The sequence below is a fragment of the Homo sapiens genome, chromosome 1, assembly GCF_000001405.40.
Source record: "Homo sapiens chromosome 1, GRCh38.p14 Primary Assembly".
Classification (NCBI taxonomy): Eukaryota; Metazoa; Chordata; class Mammalia; order Primates; family Hominidae; genus Homo; species Homo sapiens.
In genome coordinates this window covers 64579845-64602805 of record NC_000001.11, presented here as the reverse complement: position 1 = coordinate 64602805, position 22961 = coordinate 64579845, and the positions used below count along the sequence as shown (strand labels likewise).

General features: G+C 38.3%; 1 protein-coding gene and 1 non-coding gene across 6 annotated transcripts in view; both read right to left on the bottom strand.

The window, feature by feature from the left end:
- CACHD1 (cache domain containing 1) overlaps positions 1-22961 on the bottom strand; it is a 222925-nt gene that overhangs the window by 90248 nt on the left and 109716 nt on the right. For 2 of the 5 annotated variants that reach the window (NM_020925.4, NM_001293274.2), the window contains exon 3: positions 20502-20650. The exons of the other annotated variants lie outside the window; for them this stretch is intronic. In NM_020925.4, coding sequence (NP_065976.3) covers positions 20502-20650 — 149 coding nt within the window. The remainder of the gene's footprint in view (positions 1-20501; positions 20651-22961) is intronic. 5 annotated transcript variants of the gene reach the window in all.
- MIR4794 (microRNA 4794) lies at positions 22883-22959 on the bottom strand. The gene has a single exon (NR_039957.1). It is a non-coding gene; the product is annotated as a microRNA 4794 (primary transcript).

The following is a 22961-nucleotide window of genomic DNA, read 5'->3' as shown; positions in this document are numbered from 1 at the left end:
CTGAAACAATAGGAGAGAATTAGCAATACTTATTCAGGCCAGAAAAACCAACCAACAAAAATAATGGTTTACATTGTGTACAAGATAGGTCAGCCCGTAAACAGTACAACTATGATTTAGATTTAAATATTCAAAAAAATAATTTCGGAACTCTGTGTGTGGTGGGGGGAACACCTGCCTCTAGAAGGTTTTAGAAATCAAATTCAATTCAAAGATAAAAACAACCATTCTTCAAATCGACTTTTCTCCAATGAACTTAAGTCAGTACTACTGATAAAATCATACAGAAAATAGATGACAAAATTCAAAATAGAGCTACAAAAAAAAAAAAAAAATCAGATGGGAGCTCTGATGTTACATGTAAAACAGAATTCTTTAAATTATCCTATTTGAAAACCAATGACCAAGTACAAAAATAGACAGTAGTGAAGGTTGAATGGGTGTGGAGTAGGAATGGTCTAGATGTGAAACCCTGCTCTGTCACTATTAGAAAGATTATTCAATTTTTCTGGGTCTCAGTTTTCTTATCTGAAAAAGATAATAAAACTTATTTTCCAAAGCCATAAAAAAAATTAAAAATAATGTATGGAAGTTCCTCTTATAGTACATGACACAGCTTGTACCTGCTAGGCTGTCATGCAAATAAGGCAAAAGTCTTTTGATTTCCAGTGGTAGTGTAATGCTAGTACTAGAGCTAGAACAATGCTATTATTCTAGCTAGTAGCTTATCAATAAATATTAGTGGAATCAATGATCCATTGCTATAGCAACCAACAATCTGAAAGAATATAATAGGAAAACATACCAGCTTATTTACATATAGTCATAAAGAGTATTTTTAAGTGAATTTCATCCAGGAGTAACAAAAGTGAAGGATCTTGAACTTCTAAGTAAACTATTTAGGATTTCAGACCCTGAGAGGACTCTCAAAGTTTCTAAGAGATCCTCACATAAATGCAACTTGAAATAAGGTTTTAAAAAAATTTGTGTTAAAATGTAAACTTCAGGAACCACTAATGCAACTCCATGAACCCAAATAGAGAAGCTATAAAGCTAGGAGAAATATTCCTAAAAAGCAATATCCATTTGACCACTGGCATGAACTTTAATTATCTGTTGATCACATCTCCTAACACATAAGAACACATAAGAACACGTGGAACTGATTGTACAAGCAAGGGGACTAGGTTTTCACATGGTATGTTGGTTTCAACAGCAAAAGCTAAAAACAGTCTTGCTTTATTTCATACCATCTCAAAGAAGGAGATAGCTGGATTTTACTGTTAGTCCAGGCTCTAACCTAGTGCAGAGTTACACCGACAATGTCAACTGTGCCTCAAAGGACACAGTTGCTTCACCAACGTGGCTGCCCTTCCTTGGACCTGCTCCAGTTTGTCTAGACGAGAAGACTGCTGCCTCAGAAGCCACAGATGGAGGGAAAATAAGAGATTAATACAGCAGCTGCTGCTGTGTCCATGCTGGCAAGGCACTATCACTATAATCTCACTTCTCTCTATGCTATAGCTAGCCACACTAAGTCTATTCCCTCCCTGATGTTTTTATAAAAGGATAGATAATAGTTTAGGCTTTGTGGGCCATAAAGACTGTTGCAACTGCTCTGCCATTGTAGTGTGAAAGCAGCTACTGAAAATACATAAAAAATTGAGTATGGCTGTGTTCCAATAAAACTTAATTTTCAAAAACAGGTGGTATTCCAGACCTGTTTCACCACTGCTGGTCTAGACCAGGGCAATCCAAGAGAAGTCTCTGGGATGATGAAAATGTATTATATTTGCACTGTCCAACATGTTAGACACATGTGGCTACTGAGCATTTGAAATGTGGCTAGCATAACAGAGACACTAAATTTTCTATTTTATTTCGTCTTAGTTTGTAAATAGTCACTGAAGAGTGGCTACCATATTGGAAATGGAAGGCTAGAAGGTTCTCCTGATTACTTGTCTAGTAATCCTTCAGGTCTCTCTTCACGTTTCCCTTCTTCAGAAAGGCCTATCCTGATTGTGATGACTTCCCAAGTCTATGTCAACTGCCTCCATATTCTGTCAAGGCATGTGCCATAATTTTAAAATTATTGTTCTATTCATGTTTTTTATAGATCAGATTCCATAAATAGACAAGAGTGCCATGAAGGGAAGCACCATGTCTTGTTGATTTTGTTCACCACTGCATACATTGCTTAGCATTGTTCTGGTCATAAGTAGGTGCTCATATTACCTGGTCTTTTATGACCATCCACACCATCCAGGGTACCTACTCCTGTTCTGGGCTCCCCTGAAGGCTCCAAGAAATCTTGGCAAGTGAGGACCATGACTCAGTCGAATGGTTCCAATACTAAAAGTCTAGCTACTTCAGAACCACCTGGGATGTATGTTAGAATGCAGATTCCTGGGATCCACCGTTAAGAGAGTCTGATTTAGTGAGTCTGGGGTGAGGCCAAGGAATCTGATTTGCACAGGCTCTGGAGGAATGAGAAGTACCCTCCAATCCTGCTATGCAGATTCTTTTAGAAATAAAGCAAAGTAATGGCTTTCTGCATGAGCACTGGTACTTCCCTGTAGGTCTCAAAGAGACCGAAGACACCGGATCTTCTGATTGGATTTAGATGAAGAGAATAGGGTAGTTCTGAGGTACATCTGCAGCTGACATCTGGACTTTGCTCTCCAAGTTATGAACCCTTTCTCCTACCCATTTCACAGTTGAGAAAAATGACACCAAAGATCACATAGCAAGTCAGGGACCTAAGAGAGACTTAAACCCATCACTCAACTCCTTTCCAGAGACAAACCACATACGATTCTGCATAAGTGATAAATAAAGAAGAACTTGCAACTCAAGAGGGTTACTGACAAATCTTCCCAGGAAATGTATAAACCTGGAGAGAGCCTTTGTCTATCTGGATGAAGTCTCCACAGAGAGCACGTCGCTTTCAGCATCACCCCTTGAGAGAGCTGAAGTCCAATGCTGAGGATACATAGATTTTTCTGGACCTTTGTGAAATGCAGGCTGGCTCGTGGGACCAGGGACATCAGGGAACTATTATTATAGGTTGTTTTACTTCCTTTGCTGAAAAGGTAATCTCTAACAGCATTAAAGAAAAACATTTTTATAACAATAAAAATGACAGTGACTCATTAACAAAAGTAGGTGCTTGATAAACATTTCTCCATCATAAAGTAGTTTCACCATGTGGTACTTGTCAACAATAATCTATCCGACCTTCTCTTCCCACCAACTCCTATCCTACACTTCTAACGAAACTGGCCCCTCCCTATGTGCTCTTCTGTTCGACCCCAATTGTGATGCTCTCCAGTGTCCACTCCACCCTTTCTTCAAAGCCCAGCTCAACTCTTCTTCCTCTTTCAAATTTCTCCCTAGTACTGGCCCATGATGAGTCCTTCCTCCTCCAAGCTGACTAATGCCATTCTGCTTCTTAACTATATGCCTATGTCTTCTTCCTATTTTTCTTATTTTGTAATCAAACAACATAATATCACAGTCCTATCTATTAGATATAGATTTTTTTTAAGATTCTGCTTATACCAACAAAACACTAATCAATTGTCTTCGTCCATTTGGACTATAAACTAGCTGGTTCATGAACAACAGAAATTCATTTCTCACAAGTCTGGAGGCTGGGAAGTCCATGATTAAGGTACTGGCAGATTTAGTGTCTGGTGAGGGGCCACTTTCTGGTTCATAGATGTGGCCTTTTCACTGTGACCTCAGTGACAGGGGTAAGGCAGCTCTCTGAGACCTCTTTTGTAAGGGCACTAATGCCATTCATGGGGGCTCTGCCTTCATGATCTAATTATTTCCCAAAGGCAATGATATTAATATATATTAATATTAATATATAATAATATTAATGATATTAATATATCTAATCATATTCCTCCTAATATGATCACATTGGTGATTAGTTTCCAACACATAAATTTGGGACAGAGAAGGCAAACATTCAGACCATTGCATCAATAAAATTTAAAAATAAGATTTATTATAAATAATGAACAAATTATCTTATTCATTTTGCCTTCCCCCTATGCCAAATACATGTGTGTTACAGTTACATGGGGTTGAAATTCCAAAAGATGATTATCATGGAACCCCTATTTGACTAAACCCTATCCATGTAGCTCTTGAATTCTCAATTCTCTCTAAAACCTTTTATGCACTTGAGAAATTTTAGCTTCCCCCAATGGGACTGTAGGTTACTGGAGGATTTATATTTCTCTCTCACGTCTAGCACAGTTGCTGGAAGGTGGGGCATTCCATAAATTCTTACTGGTTGACTGAGTAACGAGAAAGGGCAGAGAGTTAAGTCACCAGAAAGCTCTGGGCATTTTATTTCATAATATTCATTGAACATCTACTGTATTTCATAAGAGTCTCAACTGCCGTGAGTTCTCTCACATGTGCTGAATTTCAGCCGTGCAGCATTCACTCGCCAGTCAAGTTAGCATGAAAAGCCTAGAAATCAACCTCACTCTGCTGCTTTTCTCACTACCACTGATGTGCCGGTCAGATAAAGAAGGAGGTGTCAATAGGGGCTTAAGATATACAGGGCTGGTGGACTGGCTAGGCTAGCAGGAGTAACTACTGGAAGCAAAAGTGAAGAGTGCTTATCTTTCTACCCTTCACTAACACTCCAATGCCTGCCGCTTTTTCTGGACTCCGGACTCCACACGCAGGGATAAAACATGCTCAGCCATCCTTGTTACTTTAGCTACCTCTGGTCCCCAGAGGAAGAGTCACCTTGCCAAAGACAGGAATGCATTTTATGCCCATATGCCTTTGAGAAAAGTGACTTATAAAAAGAAACATGCTATTCGCCCTGATTTGGAGAATGTGAGAAATATAAAGCTCATACTTAGGACACTTTATAAAAACATGTCACTTATTCTTAGGGGTTACCTAAAAGATTTTTCATTAAGAAGTACATTAGCTGCCAGTCACATTTATATAATTCCGGGTTTATGGAAAGGCCAAGAAGTGGTAAAATCATAGATTTTCATACAAAATGAATGGGCAATTCAACTTAAGAGGTTTGGTTTGCTTCATTCCTCATGCCTGTGCTTTTAAAAAGTTAGTAATGACAATAGAAAACTCTGATCTAAATCTCCTTTAGACCCTGACTCTATAACTGCATTCTATGCTCATTTTCATAAGATAAAACCAGTGTCTGAAATTCAGTTTCAAGAGAAATAACTCCATCTCTCCAACCCCTGTAAGTTAAAAAAAAAAAAAAAAAAAAAAAAAACAACAAAAAAAAAACTTCCTTCTGGATTTACTTTCATGAACAACTGATCGAAACTGCATCCCGAGGGAGAAAACAGAACTGTGACTCCCACTTTGATCTCTTCCCCATGGAGAAATTCACTCCCTGCCTGGCTTGCAAGATGTTCACTTGATTGACGTTTGCTCTGATGTGCAAACTGCTTTGAACTTCAGACATTTAATTCCCATCAGGCTGCAGTCATTTTTATTCTCCTTCAACAGGATTTACAAGCAGGAGATCAGCAAATGTAGAAGATAAAATAAATTTGCAGAAGCTTTGAATCTTACATCAAAACAGTGTTCAAGTGAGTTCCAATTGGATTTCATTCAGCCTCGATTCACAGTGTAAATCAACTTTTCAGTGGAGTCCCAGTTTAGAAAGAAAGAGATATAAAGACCCCGCCTCCCCTCCAGCACCCCCCCACTCACACACCAGTTGGGGTTTACTTCCTTTCTTGGTCTTTGTTTAAATTTCCTAGGGAAGGTGATTTGCCAGGCAAATCACTCAGAAACCTGGGTTTTTCTCAATATTTCCAGAGAAGTCTGCCTCATTTATCACATAGCATATAAAAATCACACCCACAGTGTCAGTTCCAAGGGCAGTGATGAAATGTGGAATTGTTCATGGATGAATTTTTAAGGTAATGATTAAAAAGCAAATCCCTGTGGAAACTGATCATCAAGTCCACACACAAAGCCAATGTAATGATAGCTAATAGGGTAGGGAATATTCTTTACTTGTTTGCTTGTTTTTAATCACTGCTAAAATGCTGAGATAAGTGCAAAAGGTTAAAAAAAATCATTTCTTCTGAAAGCAAAACTTGGTATCAGATCAGAAGTGGGTATGGAAGAAATGCTGAGAGGCTTCTGATGGGAGGTCACAACACAAGCAGGCCTTTGCTGCCAGTGCCACTGAATTACCAAGCTTTGTTTTTAGAACAGCACACGTTTTTCTGGAAAACAAAGGCGGCAAAAACCCTTCACCAGTAGCTGCAGGAGCTGCTAAAGGAAGGTTCTGGACACTGAGAAACACTCAGGCCTACTAAGCCCCTGGGCCCTAGTAACAGCCTAACAGGGTCTGGTTTACTGTGATATGACACGGAGACATATCTCTTCACCTCTATTCAACCAGGTTCCCGCTCATTCTTTCTGGGAAGCATCTGCTCTCCAAATATTTGAGCAACACCAGTTGAAAAGAATTAAACAAGAACCTCCTTATCGTCCACTTAACCACCCATGAGAATAAAGTTAAACAAAGAAAGAGCTAAGATAAAAATCAAACATCTGCACTGGCAAATATTTAAACTCTGTTTGAATGGTAGAGGAAAGGGGCAAGAGCAGGATCACTTCAAAAAGGAACTATCACATTTATAAAGTAAATAATACTCAACCCCCCCCTCGACTGAGTTTACTTATTCAAACACCTAAATAGATGGGCCAACCAAAAAGCTGTCAAATAACATGTAATCACATTCCGAGAAATAGTTTTTCCTTCCATCTCTGCAGAGATTGGAGTGATAAGTCACATTCTTTCTTTCTTATCAGTAATAAGGATTAAACCTTCAGGGTTCAGCAACTCAGCCAGATTGGAAACAAGGGCTGGTTTCAAATGCCCTTGGAAGGTAAGGCTTTCAGAGCAATAAAGTGTCTCCCTCTCTATTAAGTCTAAGTATCACACAGACCAACCATATTTCTTTTTCGCCATTTCCCTACCACAACAGATTATGGAGAGAAGGCCCTGCTGTGACCTTGTGTCTCACTTCTATATTCAAACAGATGGTATTATCATTCAATTCACTTTCTCATAAAAGCTTGGAAAATTGCACAGGTGACATCTAGGGTGAATTGGAAGTGGGCGCACAACCACATTAAATATTTATCCTTATCTTCCTCATCACCAGGTTGGACTGGGGCACATGAAGAAAGACGGGTATCTGGAAAAATCAAAGAGAGAACAGGCTGGGGAGAGCAGCTTGGTGGGGTCTGCAGGCTGCCTCTGTGATGTTCCATAGCACCCCTGTCCATCCTGCCACTTGACCTCTAATAGGGACTTGACACACTTTACAGTTATTTATTTATATACCCTTCTCCCTTGCTTGGTAGACACAAAGGGAGAGGTCTTTTCTTATGTTTCTTTATACCCAGGGCCTAGCTCAGAGTCTCCTTGTGAAGAGCAAAAGTTTAGTCAATGTCTGCTGGATAAATACACACAGAAAGCCCAAGAGGTTGAGATTTCCCAGGACTAGAGACCGGAGACTGTAAATTGGGTGTGTTCTCTCCCCTCACACATACTGAGTATTCAGTACACAGCAGACAACTGTGAGTGGTATGACACAGACACAAAAGAGAGGCACTAACAACTAAGAGTTAGCAGATGACCTTGGAGATTAACTGGTTCCATCTACCAGCACACATGCACCGAGGAGGGAAGAGTCCTGTCCATACATCTCCCTGTTCTGTTAAAGAAACAGAAAAATATAAGATGCAGAATACTTATGGCTGATTCTACAAAAGGAATACTATCCCAATGTTAACAAGTTAATAAAGCTAGAGTGTAAAGACAGATATCTACATCATCGTACCAGATAAGTCAAGTCCCCAGAAAGAGATTATAGATAGATTTTTAAATCTGGGCCTTCTTTGAAATTGCTTTGGTATTTTTCACAATAAAAATGCACAAAAAGGTTGCTTTTCAGCTAAGACAGGTTCTATTTCTTAAAGCTGGTATAGTCTGCTAGGCAGTTTTCTACAGAGATCAGATTTTAAAAAGAAAGAAAAATCACAAAACCATCTCTATTTAAAATCCATAAAAGGCAGCTGGTGAAATTCAATAGCGTAAGCAGTGAGGCAGGTTTCCCATTCTTCCTTCAATGAAGGTCACACGAAAAACGCAGGAAGCTAGATTCTCAGCAGATCCAAATGCAGGCGCTTTCTGCTATAAGGGTACTCATCAAGACTCCTAAAGATAAAGACATCTACCTAATGCACACACACAAGCACACACAGGGAAATGGCACAAATTGCTGCAGGTCAGCCAATTTAGCAACTTTGGAGGGTCATCTAGTTACCTCAAGTAGAATTCTAAGAAGGAACACATAGTTTAGCATTTCACTTGGCAGATGAGCCATTCTAATTTTACTACTGGTCAGAGTACCATTAAAAGAAAACAGCATTTGGAATCAGAAAACCTAAATTCCAAACCTGGCTCTCCAGTAAGTCCTGCCATAACCTTTCTTTCTTTTTTTTTTTTTTTTAGACAAAGTTTTGCTCTTGCTGCCCAGGCTGGAGTGCAATGGCACGATCTCAGCTCACTGCAACCTCTGCCTCCCGAGTTCAAGCGATTCTCTTACTTCAGCCTCCCAACTAGCTGGGATTACAGGCGCCCACCATCATGCGCAGCTAATTTTTGTATTTTTTGTAGAGATGGGGTTTCACCATGTTGGACAGGCTGGTCTCGAACTCCTAACCTCAGATGATCCCCACGCCTCGGCCTCCCAAAGTGCTGGGATTACCCTGCCATAAACTTTCTAAGCCTATTTCCTAATCTGTAAAAGTGGGGATGAGGGAGGTGGGCAGAGACAGTTTCTACCCCACCAGGTTGTTCAGAGAAACATATGAAGAATGTAATGTAAGTAACACATTGTTTAAAGAGGAACAGGCCTAAAAAAGTATTTCACTGAAGTATAAACATATGTAACTAAGTTTTCATAAATACAAAGCTTTCTGTAATATCTTTGTTAAATTTGAGCTCAACTCCAGTCCTCTGGTACCAATATCCAGAAAGGCTATCAGTAACATTTAGTCGGCCTGCAGGTAATAATAATTTTTAAAGGCATTGGAAATGGAAGTGTGAGATAAGGCAGTGAAAATGACTTGAAAGACTAAGACTTGCCATACAACACTTCATTGGGCATAAACACAAAACATATCTTCATGGAGAAATAATATGACTTGCAAAAAATTTAAACTCAGTTGTTCAGGACCAAGCTTGTCACATTATTTGACCTTGTGACACAGAGATAACAAAGGAACAAAAGTTATAAGCACCTAAGTCACATTATTTTATTTCTCATAAAAACAGTAATAATAAGAAATAAGATGTATATAAGGTTAAACATTTTATATCATATTTTCCATGTGCACTACCTTAAAATTGGATTAGAAAAAAATAGGAGTTGCCAACTTATGGGTCAGCTGTATGTCTTGAAACATCATTCTACACAAAACTGTACATTAATACAACATTAAAAGTAGACATCTCAAATTTCACCTTCACCTGAACTGCCATGCACATGACATAGTTACAGGCGTAAAAATATTAGTGGGATGATAATAAAATGGTGCTGCAGGTTAATCTCAGCTGCTTAGCAAACATCTCCCAAGAATGATCTACGTGCAACTCCAAATCAGCATGTTTATACTGGATCCATCATTTTTCTCCTAAAAGTTTTCTTTTGCTCCTCTTTTCACCCTTTAGTTAATAGATTCCCATCTCCTAAAATGCTCAATTTAAAATTTGGAGCTGTGATTTCTAATCTTCCTCCTTACCAAACTCTCCAAGAAAACCTAGTTGCCAGATTCCACATACTGTACATCCCTATTTTGACACTCTATATAATACACCAGCCCCTGGACGTCTTTGCTTTTGTACCTTTGTACCTTAAGGTGTCATTACTTTGTCTGTGATTATCTAACTGGCCCAACTTGACAAGCAACTTGCCCTTCTACCGTAATTTATTCTTCATTTGCCAACTAATTAATTTGCCCAAGACCTGACCACAGCCGTTCCTTGCTTTAAAACTACTGCTTACCGAGAGAAATTTGTGTAGCTGACCTAGTGTTTCAAGCCCACCATGGTGTTTCTCTTTTCCATTGTGCCAGCTGGGTCTTCCACCTCCCCATCCTCAATTGCTATATGGACACTTGCTGTTTTCTGGTCTGAAGCATTTTTCCCCTAGATCTATCTGTGGAAGTTCCACTCTTCAAGGCCTTGACTACCACTTTTTCACCAAGCTTGAGCATTACGAGGCCTTTGTTCATAATCTCTTCCTCCTCTAAAAGTCTTTGGATTTCTTTTATGACATTTGCCACAGACTGCCTTAGCTTACTCTACATGTGTCCTATGAGCTCTTGGAGGTACATACTGTGTTATTCATCTTTGTCCATCAGACAGTACCTAGTACAATGTCTTATACATTAACTGCCTTGAAGATGGTACAGACAAGTTGAGTCGAAAATGATATACATGTATGTCAGCATTTGGGAATGTATATTTTTTAAATTCATCATGCATATAACAAAACTGTTAAGCATAACTGATAACTGAGATAACTAAATCAATATCAAACATGTTTCACATCAGAGCTTGTAATAACACTGTTCAGATTAAAACAATGACTATCATGAATAGGCAAAAAAGTATTTAATAATATTGTTCAATTTCTGCCCAGAAGGTAAGTAGCTTGTTAATTCTGACAGCATCATAGTGACTGAGACTCAAACACTAAAAACAAAGTCAGTTTTGCTACCACAAACTAACTCCTTTGGCAAATATTTATCGAGGACCTATTTAAGCAAGGTATTGAATACAGTTGTATCTGACAGGGTCCCTGAACTAAAGTAACTAAGAAAGATGAGAGAGTACATAAAGAACAAATATGCCTTAGCACCTGGTACCATCACTCTCAGTTACCCAAAATCAACTTTGGCCACCTATGATTCCTCCCTCTTCCAAAACTCAAGAAGTAGGAGCCAACATCCAAGTCCAGGCCTCCTCTTGCTCTTTGCTTACATAAATGAAATCAGGTTCTAGTTACTTCTAGTTGTTACATGATTAAGAAGTGGAATTCCCTTAAAGTTCAGGTCTCATCATTTTACTCCCTTTCTCAAGAACTCATAAATTAATTCCCTCATTCAAGCAACCAATATTTATTGAGTGTCTACTATGTATTAGACCATAGATACAGAAGCAAGAGAAAGATAGACATTGTTCTTTACTTCACTTATGGAGCCTAAACCCTACTGAACAAAGTTTAAATTCTCCAGTCTAGCATTTGAGGATCCTTATGATCTAATATTGATCCAACTTCTTAGCTGCCTCTTCCATCATTTGCTCCATATGCAAGTCCCTCTTCAGTGCTCCTGGTCATTTCTACGCTTGGGGTTTCTTCATATTGAGCTTCCTCTCCTGGAAAGCTCTTCCTCCATATCTCCATATATTCAAATCCTCTTCCTGCTTAAATACCCAGCTGAAATGTTTCTTCCATAAACCATTCCACAAGCCTTTATTTTTTCAAACGAATGGATGAGTGAGTGATTTAACCTCTGTAAGTCTTGCTGCATATCATCTTTTATCCCCCCATAAGGTCACTCTCAAAAAGATAAAAACAAACTCTCTCATGGAACCCAGAATTTATTAATTTGAGCAGTAGGAAAAGTTGCCTATAATGGCAAATGGCTCCAGTTTAAAAACAAACAAACAACCAAACAAACTTCTAAGGAGTTTGAGGAAAATTATATCAGTCTTCAAAGTTGGAAGAGTCTCTGAAATATAGTTCAAACTGCTCATTTTACAGTTGAGGAAACTGAGGACCAAAGATGTTAAGTGAACGTCCCAAGATTACATGGCAAAGTGGCAGAGTGGAGGCCCATCCACTCTTTGTACTACATGACTCAGGTATAATTTACATCACAACTGAACTTACTGCTTATGATACTTCTTTTGCACCATAGTAGCTGCAAATAAAATAAAAAGACTTGCCTCTTCTTAGAAATGATAGAAGCTCATGCTTGAGTTCAGTTTAAAAACAAATAATTAAAAAACAAAACAAAACAAAACAAAACAAAACCCTTGACTTGAAGCTAAGTCCCTTAAGAATGGAAATTGTATCTTTTAAATCTACTATAAATTCCTAAAGAGCTAAGTACAGGAATCTGAACATTATGGGTCAGCATGTTAATCATCAAAATTAAAAACAACCCTCTGAGTAAGTTACCTCTGGCTCATATGACGTCAATAATACTTAAAGAACTTGAAATCCTATTATAGAAATGTATACAACATCTAAATCATGCCACAAAATACACAACCAATTTACAGGGAAAAAAGAATTACTCAAATGCTGAGATTCCTTTCCAGGCAGCTCAGTTACATGAGCATTAACTTTTTTTTTTTTTTTTTTTTTTGAGACAGAGTCTTGCTCTGTTGCCCAGGCTGGAGTGCCGTGGCGCCGATCTTGGCTCACTGCAAGCTCTGCCTCCCAGGTTCATGCCATTCTCCTGCCTCAGCCTCCCGAGTAGCTGGGACTACAGGCGCCTGCCACCACGCCCGGCTAATTTTTTGTTTGTTTGTTTTGTTTGTTTTTAGTAGAGACGGGTTTTTACCATGTTAGCCAGGATGATCTCGATCTCCTGACCTCGTGATCCGCCCACCTCAGCCTCCCAAAGTGTTGGGATTACAGGCGTGAGCCACTGCGCCCGGCTGAGCATTAACTTTTTTAAGAGAAGCTGTGTAGGAGAATACGGTAGAAAGTTCTGTGAGAGTTTAGCCTTCTCCAGTCTAAATCCGAAGGTTAACAAAACCTTAATTTTAATGATAGGTTTAGTAGTACACTTTTCTATCCTTTCTAAAGATAAAAGGGGTAAAAGGGCAGGAGGGATAACTTTATATCAACTTGGCTGGGCTATGTTACCCAGATAGGTTTGGCCAAACACTATTTTAGATGTTTCTGTGAAGAAAATGTTTTAGATGAGATTAACATTTAAATAATAGGTGATGAGTAAAGTTGATTATTCTCCATAACATCAGTGGGCCTCATCAATTGAAGGACTTAGTAGAACAATGACAGACGTTCTGTAAGCAAGAAGAAATTTCCCTAGCAGACTGCCTTTGAACTCCAACTGCAACTCTCCTTTGAGTCTCCAGCTTGCCAGCCTACCATGTATTTTGGACTTGTACCTCCACAATACTAATTCCTAACAATAAATATCCATCTCTCTGTATGTACACACACACACGCACGCACACACACACACGCTATTGGTTCTACTTCTTTGGAGGACCCTATCTAACACAAGGTTATAACGGTGCTATTCATGAGAATTATTATAATCAGGAGCCTGTGTTCTTGTATCAAAACCTAATGCTAATTGCTTTGTCTGCAGCACAATACCCTCAAGAGGTTGAATAAGATGGGATTCCTGAAATCATATAATTCAAGTGGGTGCCAGCTGGAAATGCACTAAATTTGTGTTCTTAAAAGATGAGATGAGTCCTATCTGCCTTCCACAGTGACTATATCAATCTCAGTGGATGCCCCAACTCAAAGAGCTCCCTGTAAAATAGCAGGAATCCAATTTGACAATGGTTCCAAGAGTTTCTTCATTTTTGGAATCAGTGAAGCTTTTTAAGTTTCCCCTGAGAGAATATCTATTCAGCTGAAGTCTTCCAGCTCCAGGTGGCTGGCTTCAGAGAACCTTGGAAACAAGTTGCTTACTTACTCTAACTCCATCAGAGCATCCATTTGCTCATCAAGCCAGACAGATGCCTTAATGCCAGTTCTAACCATGATTAGCCAATTAACATGCATTAACTAAATGAGGATAACAGCACTGAACCCCACTTGGAGACACAAAAAAGAATAAAAATCTAAATTCATCTTTCCAGTATTTCCTCCGTAGCTTATGCTCCCCTTTGCCCCCTTCTTTTTAAATAAAGACACCAAAAATTAAAAAAATAAGAATACCAACAGGTAGTAACGTCTATAGAAGAAATTGGGGAAAGAAATAGATAAATCAATTAAGTGATGTGGACAATAAAAGTATTGATCTGGGCCCAGCATGGTGGCTCATGCCTGTAATCCCAGCACTTTGGGAGGCTGAGGCGGGTAGATCACTTGAGTCCAGGAGTTCGAGACCAGCCTGGCCAACACAGTGAAACCGCTTCTCTACAAAAATACAAAAATTAGCTGGGCGTGGTGGCGCACCTGTAATCCCAGCTACTCAGCAGGCTGAGGCATGAGATCGTGCCACTGCACTCCAGCCTGGACAACAGAGCGAGACTCTGTCTTAAGAAAAAAAAAAAAAAAAGTATTGATTTGTTTATATAAAAGCCAAGGATCAGTATGGCCTGCTGAATAAACAATAGCTTTAGAAGCACACATCAGAACCTCATCTCTGTGGCAAGCTGGGTTTCAGGGATAGCTATTCTTAGTGTTATGCCTAAAGGAGTTATATTCTTTAAAACTTGAGAGAATGAGAATGGACATTTTTAAGTTGGCATAACAGGGAAGGCACATGGATAAGACATTTTTCTTAAGTCAAATCTATTAATATCGTATGGTCTTTTAAGGTCAGGAATTGCAAATTCACAGCTAAGGTGGGCCAAATAGTGATATAAATCAGGAAAATAGGTTGGGTATAACACATCAGGTCAGGAACTCATCCCCTGTCCTGAAAGGGGAGCTGCTCTTCATGAAAGCAGACTGTTACCAAGTAGCAGTGTGGATCCAGTATTGCCAAATCTTCTGATTTTTCAAGAGAGGAGAGATATTTGGATTTCTAAATTGCTAATCTTTCAAAGTTTAAATGTTGGCAACAGATTTTAAAATTTACAAATTTAAAAACCTTTAAAACACTGAGGGCCGAAAAAAATATGCCTGTAGATCAGATATAGTCCATAGGTGTAATTATGCATTTGTTCACTCCTTGTGGGAGAGCCCAGGATCTCCTGTGTCCCTAGCACCTCACCTAAAGGAACACAAAGGGAGCTGCGAATTAAATTATATAAATAAATGAGCCCACTCTCAAAACTATGTTGTTTTAAGTGATACCGTTGAAAATGAGTTTGTTTTTGATTAAATTTAGCCTATTTTTTTCCATATTGAAGAATGCAAATTCTTTAGATCATTCCTTCAACAACAAACATTGACAGAGTACCTAATCACTAGGCAGCGTCTTGTGCAGAATAATTAACTTCTAAGGCTCCTGTGCAAGAATTTTAAGAGTTGACTGGTCTGAGAAGGAAAGTATGAAACCCGTCTGAAAAATGAATTTTCTGCCACTTTGCAGGTTCTCTCTGTTGTCGTCATACTATAGCCTAATGCTCTGTAACAAAGGTCTTTAAAGCTCCTCTCTCTTCAGAACTAGGCATTTTATTTTTAAAAAATATGTACTATTAAGCACTACTGGAGAAAACCAAATATGGATTATAATCATTAAAAATGAAAAGTTAGGCCTGAGACAAAAAGTAAAAATTAGCCATTAGTTAAAATTACTTATAAAAACATTGTCTAGTTCTAACTAATCTTTAGTATATTTGGAGAAGAAGCAAGGTCAATAGGCCACAGGCACTTAAAATGTTAGTAACAAACAGCCATCATACCACTGGGTCAGTGCTGAGTTTAAAAAAAATGTTCATAAGGCCCAGATGACTTAAGAATGAAGAAGATTCAGAACTAAGACTGGAGGTCTCTTATCTGAGGTCCAACTGCTTATATTTATTATAAAGGCAGTATTAATACATATACATATGGCAAGATACAGTCCATAGGCATAAACGGTTTTAAAGCGTTTGCCTCATAGAACTACAATATCTTACAGTTTGGAAGGACTTTAGCAATAATCTTGAGCCCATTTTTCATGAACTTCAGTCACTACTACATGTCTATCACTTTCAAACATTTGGTCACATTCACTTAATGTTTTCATTTAAAATAATTCAATTTTATTTAGCTACATTTACATTAAAAAGAAACTTTGTTATTGCCAGTAGAGAAAAAAAAACTGTTGACATAGTAAATATTGAAGTAAATACTTAATCAAATTTAAAAAAATGTCTAAGTATAACCTAAAAACATCTCCTCTATAACAACCATGTGAGGTGGGTACTCTCATTATCCTCATCTCACTGATGAGGAAACTGAGGCTCAGAATAAGTGACTTCCAAAGGTCCACATATGAGTTCATGAGATTCAAAACCAAATCTCCCTAGTATTAAAAAAAAAGTTTTTAACCACATCCTTAGACTGCTTCAAAAGACTAGGAGATCTTCCTTTCCTCACCTAACTCCAACATGAAGTTGTTAAGATTCAAAATAGAGACATTTTTGGAAGGATTGGAATATAGGAAAGTGTCAGCTGGGTGCAGTCGCTCAAGTGTGGCTCAAGCCTGTAATTCCAGCACTTTGGGAGGCCAAGGTGGGTGGATCACCTGAGGTCAGAAGCTTGAGACCAGCCTGGCCAAAATGGTGAAACCCCATCTCTACTAAAAATACAAAAATTAGCCGGGCGTGGTGGCACGCCCCTGTAGTCCCAGCTTCTTGGGAGACTGAGGCGTGAGAAGCGCTTGAGCCTGGTAGATGGAGGCTGAAGTGAGCCGAGACGGTGCCATCACACTCCAGCCTGGGTGACAGAGTGAGACTCTATCTCCAAAAAAACAAAAGGAAGGCGTGAACTGAAAATGTGTTCAGCAGGCACCCCAGCTGTTAGAATATGCAGATAAAGCACTTTCTGAGGGGTTGGAACAAAGGTGGCTAGCTGAGAATTTGTACCCTTGTTCACTGCAACAACATACTACTAACTCTTTCCATTTTTAAATCTTCATTAAAAAACTGAGGAGTTCCTGTAATTTTACAAAGTGCTTGTGTTCAACCAAAGTCTAGAAAAGTATCAGCTCAGGGTTCACTCCCAAAATTCCTTCACACATTTCACTGGAAAGTGGGCTCCATTCAAAGCCAAGTAGACACAGTATAATTGAAGGGAGTCCTCACAGGCCACTTCCTGTTGCAAAAGATCTCTCTGTTGTCAGGTATCTTTAAAATTTGTTGAAGGAGGTTCATTGTATTGCTTATCTGTACATTCTCTGATTGTTCAGCTTTACCTTCAGAACTGCTTTGGTTTTCCAATATCCACCCCAAGCAGTTCTTGGCTCTGTCAACTACTCCTGGTCAGGAGAGAATACTGCATCTTCAGCATTCAGTGCAGAGGTCCCACCTCTGAAGGAGGAACATTCTCTCCTACTAATCTGCTTACTTGGTGTGTATTTTTCTAGGGGTACAGTTAAGGTCTCATGGATGTTCAACTAACTAAATGAGAAGTTCCTAAAGGACAGAAACTACATTTTATGCTTGATTGTATTAACAAAAAGGTTGACCACTGGGTTTTACCAAATTAGATGGCCTCTATCCCAGACCTGAACCCTTATCTCAACATATTCAAAATGGAAATCACTGTCTTTACTCCCAAACTTAATGCACACATGTGTGTTCTTGGCTTTTTGGCTAATATCAAGTGTAATGTATGCATGTGTGTATGTATGTCTGACCATTCTCACAAGTCAGCTTCAACAGCATGGCTGCATCTTACCATCTCATATATATGGATGTGATACAATTTTCCTAACTAATCCTCTATTGCTAGAAATTTAGAGTATTTATAATTTTCTCTATTCTAAATGGTACTGCGGTATTTTTCTTTACATGTTTATATTATATATATTTTTGTGATGTTCCTCCTAATGGCCAAATCAAGTAAGAGGCATATTTCTGAAGTTCATAAAATCATTTCCAATACAACCTATCTGGTATAGTTCTCTGCTTTGAGGAACCACAATACCTCTCTGCTATGTCACATTTTGCCCTATTAATTATGCTCAATATTTGCCACTCCACACCCAGTAACTTATACATTTCTAGAGAGTAGACACCTTCTTACTCGTTCCTATATCAATTTAAATCAATTCAGATTCCAACAAATAGTATAAAAATTAAATACAATGGCCAGGTGCTAGGGGTAATAAAAGATGAGGTGTAATTCCTGCCCAGAACAGAAGGGGAGGCCAACTCACAACAAGGTCTGATACATTAAGTTCTACACTATATAGAGATGTATGGAAATTACTATGGGAATAAAGATGAGAGAGCAATAAATTCTTCCAGGGACAAAAGGGAATAAGGAGAGGAAAGAAAGAGGTAATTGGAAGCTATGAAGAAAGGGCAATTGTTGAGTTGCTCCTTGAAACATTCATAGAAATTCACCAGGTGGGCAAGTGACTGGGTAGATTCACCAGTAGCAGCCAGCCAATTCAAGTTTCAGGTTTTTTCCCCTCTAGAGCACTAGTTCTACTTAGGAATTTATGAAGATCCCCAATGTGCTAAGCCAGGGTTTTTCAACCTTGGCACTACTGTCATTTTGGGCAAGGTAATTCTTTGTCTTGGGGAGCTGTCCTGAATGTTATAGGATGTTTAGCAGTATCCCTGGACTCTACTCACGAGATGCCAGGAGCTTTCTTCCAGCCTTTTAAGTTGTGACAACTGAAAATGCGTCCAGACATTGCCACATGTCTTTCCCTAGGAGAAAAATGCATAAATCTAGCTCTAAGAACTTCTCCTTACCTTACTATCTGTTCTTCCTGCCCTGAAAATGGTTTCTTCTTTGGGCCTAAAACCCAACTGGACCCTCATTTTATTTTTAGATAGTGGTAAGGTTGTCAAAACATTAAGTTACAGGTGCCCCACTATAAAAGATAATCTTTGATTATACCTAATATGGTTTGGCTGTGTCCCCACCTAAATCTCATCTTGAATTGTAGCTCCCATAATCCCCACATATCATGGGAAGGACCCAGTGGGAGATGATTGAATCGGTGGGTGGGTTTTCCTGTGCTGTTCTCGTGACAGTGAGTAAGTTTCACGAGATCTGACGGTTTTATAAAGGGCAGCTCCCCTGTACACACTCTTTCCTGCCACCATATAAGACGTGTCTTTGCTCCTCCTTCACTTTCCGCCATGATTGTGAGGCCTCCCCAGCCATGTGGAACTGTAAGTCCACTAAACCTCTTTTCCTTTATAAATTACCCAGTCTAAAGTATGTCTTTATTAGTGGTGTGAGAAGGAACTAATACCTAACAAAAATTGAAATGTTCACTCTGATATGAAGGTATACAAATATGCAATATTACAGCTAATACTTGTTTAGAACATTACAGTTTACAAACTACTTTCACATTTGATTTCACTGAAATGTTCACAACATCCTGGAGTATTAGTTATTGTTCTCATTCCAGAAATAAAGACAGGGTTGCTCAAAGACACCAAATATCCAAAGACCATGTGGGTATTGAGTGTTAGGGGTAGAATTCCTATCCAGACAGTCTCATTCCAAATTATATATGCTTTCCATTTAGTTTAGAGAACAACTAGTATGAGTTTCTTCAGGCCACAGACAGGGTAAGCCAGACAAAGGCACATCTTAACATCATATAAATGGAGAAATAAAATGACTTGAGGATGCCCTGCTACCTAAAAGCCCAGCAAGAAATCATAATAAGTAAAAACTTGCTTATGGAAACAAAGCATCATTTAACCACCAAAAACCATTATATCCATCCTTTGCCTAGCCGCAAGAGCACTTGTCATGCAAAGAGAGGAATAATAAATACTAATTTACATTTACACTCATATTTTAAAAACATATTAACGTCTTTTATTTATTCTAAGTAGCACTAGAAAATTGGTATAAGATTATTTTCCACATTGGTAGAAAACTGAGCATAAAAATAAACATTAAGTAACTTGATGAAGGACACACAGCTAATTAAAGACCAAGTCAAACTTAAAACTAAGCTCTTTGCACCTCCAGATAAGTGTTCTTTCCACTACAATTTCCAGCATCCCATAGCCCTATACCCCTCCAGATATAAGTATCACTAGGCCAATAAATAAAAATATCCTCAATCATGCAGATACAAACCTGTTTCAATATGATCTGAAAACACATTTCCCATAGGAGTTTTAAAGATAGTATCTACTAAAGTAAGGAATGGGAATTTTTGGTTACTCTTTTAAAGACAAAAGGCACTCCCTTAAATTAAGCAAGTGACATGGCTTAATAGTTGACTCATGACAAAGCATTTCCAATTTTCTAGATTTAGATTCTGTACTCAAATAAATAGTTGATACTCCTCAACTTGCATTTCATCAGGAGAAAAAGGTGAGTAGGGAGGGTCCAGGAATTTCCTGGCTATAGAACACTGAATCACATTTTCTTTAAAAATCACTTATCTAAAGATAAAGGGCTTATCTTAAATAGTGGGAAACAAGCTACACAATTTGCAATAAATAAACACAGGTATTTTGAATATGAAATGAAATGTATAAGCAATTCAATGTCTGGTTTATACAACAACAAAAAGTTTTAAAGTCTTACTCCATCATGGAAGGTGGGATAGTACAGCAGTCTTGAATTGCAGTTAGGGGAGAGGTTAGGTGAGCCGTATAGGATGCTTCTACAACTTGCTTGTTCCGATTGACCACATCCAAGTAACGGTTGAACTTCTCTCGGATTTTTTTGGCTAGCTGTGGGATGACAGTGAGCAAAATAAATCGAAAGTCCAAGACAATAACTCATTGTATTTTTTTCTAATAAACTAGTAATCTGTGTCACAAGCTGCATATATTAAAATTCAAGTAAAACAAACAACACACACCCAAGTCATATTCCCCTGTGTGGGTTGAGATAAAAATTGCACAATGCCCAGAAGTCATAGAAGGATACTCAGACAACAGTAAAATTATATCTTCTTGTAACAGATGACGGCACGTTAAATAGAACAATACCTATCCATAAAATACCTTGCTGGAAAAAGGAAAACAAAGACTGTTGACATTATTGTCAGCATGACAGTGGGCATTGTGTGTTACAGAGCAACGACAATGACTGGGAGAATAAAGAGGAGAGACATTATCTGTTACTTGTGGTTCTGGGTTCACGGTTTTTCAAGGGGGATAATAACAGAAGGAAAGGAAACAACATTCAGTGTCTCCTGCTACACAGTCCCAGGGGACACCATTCTCAGTCTTCCATGTGAATGGCAATTCCTTGGAGTTGTACAATCCATATAAATGAAATGCACACTTAGAAATATACTTGTGTTTGGTCTGCTACACCTTTAAGATGAACAAATGTCTTTCTTAACTGCTGTGAACAGAACACTTCATCATGATTTACTTTCATGCAGGAATAATAAAAGCAAATTGGTAAGCATACTGCTTTTTCCTCCATTGTTCCCATCAAATACCACAGCTTCATCAAAGATCTCCAAGGAAAACTGTGTTGTTTTTTCTTCCCTTTAAACAAAATGTTACCCAAAGGAAATGACTGATAGAATTATAGCTAATTGGTTTTGTAGTGCTATTCATTATCATCACACTGGAGGAAAACTAATCATCTCCTTTGGGTCATGCGTCTCACACAATCCAATAGCTTCCAGGCTGAGAACATGGAGTCAAATCAAAATATCTTCATTTGTTATTTTCAAGCCAATTTTAAATCTTGATTTTGTTCCAGGGATATTCTATAGCTTTCAGGGTCTCAATTAAATAACTGAGGTTCTCAGCCTTGCTAGAAATTATATAAACTATAAAGTTTAGAAAAACTTCCAGACATAACAAAGGGATATGAGTATAATGTTTAATTGGATAATGGGTTGTCCAAATTCATTTTATCATTTTCAAAGGAGGAGTTGTGGGTCTTGGAAATGTACAAAATGACTCACAATACTCCCTGACCTAGACTTCTTACTATTAAAATAAAGTAGGTTTTCCTCATTGAGGTCATTGAATTAAAACATATAAACCCAGTTTAATTTAGACAACTGTTGGTTTTGCCACCCTCAGGGGACATTTGGAGAAAATTTTGATTGTCACAACTTGGTGGAGAATGCTGCAAAGTAGATAGATAGAGGCCAGGGATTCTCCTAAACATCCTACAATGCACAGGACAGCACCCCAAAACCAAGAATTATCTGGTTCAAATGCCACTAATGGCCCAGATGAGAAACCTTGAAACCTCGATTGATTGCTTTTTTAACAGGTGTTGGAAAATCACTTTTTAAGCAAAAAATTCACATTTTATTAAGGATATTAATATAACCCTTTCAGGGGTCCTCTAAAAATCTTTAGCAGTATCCTCTGATTGCAGTCAAATAATTATTAACCAGATGTTTTATTTAAGGGCTATTCTTGGGTATGATTCTGACCAATTTATTTTTTCTTTTCCAATTTTTATTTTAGGTTCGGGGGTACATGAGCACATTTGTTACATGGATAAATTGCACGTTACTAGGGTTTGCTGTACAAATGATTTTGTCACCCAGAAAAACTTTGATTGAGAGAAAAATCAGTAAATTATCCCAATTTGTAATTCAGTCAATAGGTTCCAAACTGTTCTTCTATTTGAATTCTCCACCCATCCAAAATGATAACTTATCAGGGAAAAAAAATCCTGTACATTTCAACAACTGCAATTTTTTTCATTCTTTGTTTTTCCTTCCCCAAAGCAATATTAAACAGGCCATCACACGTGGCCTAGATATGGAGAGAGGACTATTCACTCATTATCAAACGTGTTAACGTGGTTTTTAAACAGCAGCTTGCAACTAATCTAACAACCCTCTTTTCCTAGACTTTCACATTCAGTGGGCAGTAGAGGGTGTCAGAGCAATAGGCCCAGCTTGAAAACCTTATATTCTCATAATGCCCTGCATAAGCCATCTCATAACACACATTAAATTTGATGCTGTTTTTTTTTTTTAACATCTGGCTATCTCATGAGACTACAAGCACTGTTAGGACATACAGTCTCGTGAGATAGCCAGATGTTAAAAGA